Here is a 6,000-nt window from a genome sequence, read left to right as displayed (position 1 = left end):
CCATCTGCTTCTGAAGAGTCACCAGAGAACCTCAGGGTATGTGGGTTTTGGTTTGGAAGTGTGTTAGTTGGCCTTGTTTTGTTTTGCCATTTACTGTTGGAAAATGAACACTGTTGTTGTGTCTGGGAAACAAGTATTCAAGAATCAATCCATCAGAGTTTTACTATTGTGTGAGTTATTAACAATACCTGTTAACTCCAAAGATGTCCAAGTATAGGCTTTCTCTGAGGATGTTTTCAAAATGCACAATCATTTAACATCATGTAGAAGCTGCATAGCTGGCCAGTAAGGGGAGGTGCTCCTATATTGCTGATAAGATGTAATGGCTCCCTCTGATTTACTATATTGTCATGAATTATCACAATAGAAGAAGACCATATCTTCTATTAAGGTATTTCATAAAACTGATTCATAAGAATTTAGTCTATGACTCTGCTAGGCATAAAAATGTGTCACGGAGAGTGAGAACATTGACAGAATCTCTAGGTCATTTTATTCATCCTGCAAAGATTACCCTGAATTTCATCAACTGACAGACATGTTTAAGCCTGGAGAGAAAAATATTTTAATAAATATTTATTGCATCAGTCTTCCTGCCTAAAAATAAATATGTTTCCTTCAACCTGAAAAGTACACAATTGTTCAAAAATATTTAAATGAATTTGTTGAATGAGAAAGGAAGTGTTAAAGGTGAATTGGTCAGAATGGGGCATCAGAGCTTTCTGTATATTCAGTGCTCCTCTAAAGGCATTCTCTTGGTATTAAAAACAAAAACAAAAAAAACGCCAAGGCCTGAGAAGCAGGAATTTTGGGGAAAAAATACATATTAAATGACTAGCATTCAAAAAAGAGGAAGCTCTACCACATCTTACAGTTGTAAAAATAAATACGTAAGAGTAACCCAAAGTGGATGTTATTAGACTTGGTAAATGTGTGATGATGAATCTGTATTGTAGTCACACAGACACATACTGAAATATTGATTTTTGTTTTCTCTGATAAAAATATAGACCTGAGCTCTAAGTTTACTTCTTAGTAAGATGCAATTTATTCCTTTGCGATGACCTCTTTGGGCATTTTTGTGTATGTGTGGATATTTACATTTAAATAACCATGAATAATCATCATATGACATCTCTACAAGGTGTTTTGTTTTTGACTGTGTCAAAAATGACATAGTCTCAAAAATAAATTTAAGTATATTATCTAGTATGTATTTTAAATCGATATAATTACTAAGGCGATTATTATTAAATATATTTTAATTTGTAACCCTCTCTTAGACAAAATAAAATACTTTAACATTTAACAAATATAGCCGCTAATTGACTTTTATTCTTCAAGCCATTTATTATGGTAAATATTAGTTTGCCACACAAATTAGGATAAAGAAACAGACTTTAATTAAAGACATTGAATACAACATACATATAAACATGTTCTGAAATTAGCCATTCTTCTTTTTTTTTTTTTTTTTTTTTCGAGACAGAGTTTCACTCTTGCTGCCCAGGCTGGAGTGCAATGGCATGATGTCGGCTCACTGCAACCTCCACCTCCCGGGTTCAAGCAATTCTCCTGCTTCAGCCTCCCGAGTAGCTGGGAATACAGGCATGTGCCACCACGCCCGGCTAATTTTGTATTTTTAGTAGAGATGGGGTTTCTCCATGCTGGTCAGGCTGGTCTCGAACTCCCGAACTCACGTGATCCGCCCACCTCAGCCTCTCAAAGTGCTGGGATTACAGGAATGAGCCACCACGCCCAGCCTAGCCGTTCTTAAAAATAGTGGATGTCACAAATTTTCTATCATATATGAAATACTAATTTATAATTATTCAGGATAGTGAGGGAGATTATGCTTTGGGTATCTCAGAAAAAAAATAAAATATGCATTATGTAAACAAATGTATAACATATTTAACATATGTATAATGAATCTTGGAATGATTGAACATAGCAGGAAACACTGTAATTTCTGTATAACTAAAAATCTCACTAGCAAAGACACAAAATACTTTTATTGTTCTCATAATAAAATGTATGAAATCAACTCTATGTAGTTTTAAGACTATGAACAATTTGAGAATTAGTTACAAATCTTATTAAAGAGTGACAGCAGCAAGATGGCAGAATAGAATCCCCCAGAATCACTCTCCAAGCAAATTACAAATGGAAACTATTTTCAAAGAAAAGAATAACACTAACATTCTGAGTTCACCAGAACTCTAAGGAGAAGCAGAGAAATCCACTGGGCCCACAGAAACTGGAAAAATCACCACCAGTAAGAGAAACAATCATTTAGACTACATGACCCCCAAACCCAGCTGCAACAGCACTAATCAGAGAGAACTTCCATAAACCCAGAGTCTCCTAGGTGAGACAAAGGAATTGGAAGTGGATCTTAGAGCTCTCCCCCAGTCTGGGAATCTTCGTGGGAAGTCCACTCTGGGCCTGTCCCACAGGAATCACTGGGAGTGCCAGAAGAGCTGAATCACCTGGGGTGAATGGGGGACAAAGAGCAGGGCACCGATTGCAGCAACTGGTGTGTGGATCTTAGTAGCTTCTCTGCATTTCAGTCAGCAGGGACATCGCATCGAAGAGATAATGCTGCAGGGGGCACAATGAAAGCGGCGTTCAGAAAGGCCCGCATCCCTGGCTAGATTTTCCACAGAGCCCAAATGCATGCATGGAGCCTGCTCCTTGCCTGGAAACAATTAAAAGATCAGATCGGTGTTAAGTTCTATATGCTTATCAAAATATCACATGTACCTTGTAAATAGGTACAATTATTATGCCTGGATTTTTAAAAATTGAAACAAGAAACAAAAACAAAACTTATGAATTGTGTCTCAGTCCTTAGAGGACTAAATGCTTTTGTTAGCTATCAGGCACACAAGTGTGTTAACCGTAATTATCTTAGTTTAGATGACAGTAGTCAAACCTTACAGAAAGCCCTTTTCTTATAATCATTCTGGTTTTGTTTTGTTTTGAGACAGAGTCTCTTGCTCTGTCGCTAGGCACGATCTCGGCTCACTGCAACCTCCGACTCCCCGGTTCAAGCGATTTTCCTGCCTCAGCCTCTCCAGTAGCTGGGATTACAGGCACACGCCACCACACCCAGCTAATTTTTGTATTTTTAGTAGAGATGGGGTTTCACCATGTTGGCCAGGATGGTCTCCATCTCCTGATCTCGTGATCCGCCCCGCTCGGCCTCCCAAAGTGCTAGGATTACAGGTGTGAGCCACCGCTCCCGACCTAATCATTCTTAATCTAATCATGCCAACCATGTTTTTTAAAGATTACTTATTTTGTATTTTTCAGATAAATGTTGTTAACCAATACATATGTTTCTTTTGTTTTGCATTTAGCTGTAATATGGTAATAGGCCTCCAACGGTAAGACCAATACTTTTTATTCACTTGAAATTCTGTTTGCAAAAAGGCAGTAATGAAGTTCAATAATTTTTATTAATTCATCACAACTTCAGTTTATGTTTTATCTGTGTGTGTTTGTGTGAATATATAATTTTGTGCTTTTGTGACACTTCCTTAAATGCATACATGAAAGAAAATTTAATATGATCAAGATTTTATTAAAATAGTTTAGTTATATGTGGAAGGGATTGTTTAGGAAATAAGGCAGCTATCATAATTCATCACTACCTAATGCAAAGCACCATTAATAACAGTTGAATGGCTATAATTTTATATATGCAGATCATCACTATTATAACAGGTATATCATTTTTTTACTTGGTAGAAATCTTTTGAGATGAAGTTATAAGCAAAAACGATATTTTAAAAGTCTGCACTGTGTAACCAAAGCTACAGACATAAATCTTTTGGGGAAGAAATACTTCATTTATGAGTGTAACACCTTATAATTTTTCATAAATTTCCCCAGGTACTTATTTTTTATATAATTTCACCAAATGACGTAATTCCCTTTCTTATAAACATTCCTAGAAATACCATATATAAGACAAGCACTCTTACCACAAGATTTATTAAGGAAAATTCTTATTTAATCTAATCATGCCAACCATGTTTTTTAAAGATTACCTTATTTTGTATTTTTCAAATAAATGTTGTCAACCAATATATATGTTTGTTTTGTTTTGCATTTAGCTGTGATATGGTAATAGGCCTCCAATAGTAAGACCAATACTTTTTATTCACATGAAATTCTGTGTGCAAAAAGGCAGTAATGAAGTTCAATAATTTTTATTTATTGAGGAAAATTCTTATTTTCCTTAATAAACTACATAAAGATGCAATTTTCCTGGTACCTTTGAGAAATACTTGCTTTGGTGATCCAGGTTGAGGTCTCCAGCATCTGAACTTCCTGAACTTTCTTCTTCACGAGTGCTTACATTTAGTGACAATATCATTATTGCTTCCCCACTGTCCCTGGAAAGTTCTCACAAAAGTTGTGTAAACCCTATACACTAAACCACTTTATCCTCAGGATAATTTGAGTAAACTTATTCACTTGAATAAATCCATACTGTTACCAAAACCCCAATCAACCAAACTTGCACTGCAGTAAAGTGGGTAGTTATATGATACATTCCAACAACCGAATACTATACAGATTGGATAGTCAACTGGAGCCAATTTTGTCCCTCCTTGAAAGTAGGAATGTCTACAGATATTTTGATTGTTCCAACTTGAGGGGGCTGCTACTGGCATTTAATGAGTAGAGGCCAGGGAAGCTGCTAAACATCTTAACATACATAGGATGAACCTGACTAATAAAGAATTAACCAGTCCAAAAGGTGGAATAGTACCACGGTTGACAAATCTGCTATATAGCCGTGAAAGACACATAGTTTGATTGTGCTACTGCACTCAACATCCAGAGAGAATCTCACAGACATAATGTTGAATAAAGGAAGTCAGATTACATCAATATCTAACCCATGATTTAATTTATATGAGATATAGAAATTGCTAAAAATAAATCTCATGGACTCATTTGTGTTGGGTGTATATGGAAGAGTGGAACTGCTGGGTCATAGAATATGGGGATGCTCAGCTTTGAATATATTGCCAAAGGATTTTCTAAAGCTGTTGCATCAATTAATTTATACTCCCATCAGCAGTGTGTAAGATTTCCAGTTGCCTTGCATCCTGGATATCACTGCGTATTTTTAATTTTTTGTTTTGTTTCATTCTTAGCCATCTGGTAGGTTTGTAACGGTATTTTATTGCGGTTTAATTTTTATTGTCCTGATTTAGATCTAGAGCTAGATAGATCTGGCTGTGGTATCATTGTTATGTATGTGTCACAAATATCTTCTCCCACTCAGGCTTGTGTTTTTTGGATTTTTTTGAGACAGTGTCTCTCTCTGTCGCCCAGGCTGGAGTACAGCAGAGTACACTGGAGTACAGTGATCTCTGCTCACTGCAACCTCTGCCAACCGGGTTCAAGTGATTCTCCTGCCTCAACCTCCCGAGCAGCTGGGATTACAGATGCCCGCCAACGTGCCTGGCTAATTTTTGTGTTTTTTAGTAGAGACAAAGGGTTTTGCCATGTTGGCCAGGCTGGTCTTGAGCTCCTGACCTCAGGTGATCTGCCTGCTTTGGCCACTCAAAGTACTGGGATGACAGGTGTGAGCCACCACACCTAGCCTCAGGCTTGTCTTTTAATTCTCTGAATGTTGTATTTTTTTCTAACTCTTGCATCCAGAGATAATAGTAGAGTCATATGCAGTCCTAAGAAATAATACAGAGACTTCCTGTATAAACTTTCTTCAGCTTCCCCCAATGATAACACTGTATAAAATCAGAGTATAATATAAAAAAAATTGACCTTGATACAATCCACCAATATTGTTTCGATTTCACAAGTTTTACACATACTCACTTTGTGTATATATTGAGTCTATGTAAGTTTATCTTTTAATAGATTCATGTGACCACCAAGAGTTATATCACAAAAGACCATGTGCTACACATTTATAGCCAAAGCCACCTCCCATTCTCAAATCTCCTAACCCCT

General features: G+C 36.6%; 1 long non-coding RNA gene across 3 annotated transcripts in view; it reads right to left on the bottom strand.

The window, feature by feature from the left end:
* Positions 1–1,330: 1,330 nt before the first annotated feature.
* Positions 1,331–6,000, bottom strand: part of AGA-DT (AGA divergent transcript) — a 255,397-nt gene continuing 250,727 nt past the window's right edge. For all 3 annotated transcript variants that reach the window (NR_183777.1, NR_183778.1, NR_183779.1), the window contains one exon: positions 1,331–2,701. This is a non-coding gene — a long non-coding RNA (AGA divergent transcript). The remainder of the gene's footprint in view (positions 2,702–6,000) is intronic.

This window comes from Homo sapiens, chromosome 4 (genome assembly GCF_000001405.40).
Source record: "Homo sapiens chromosome 4, GRCh38.p14 Primary Assembly".
Classification (NCBI taxonomy): Eukaryota; Metazoa; Chordata; class Mammalia; order Primates; family Hominidae; genus Homo; species Homo sapiens.
Note: the sequence above shows the minus strand (reverse complement) of the source record. Positions and strands in the feature narration are given on the sequence as shown.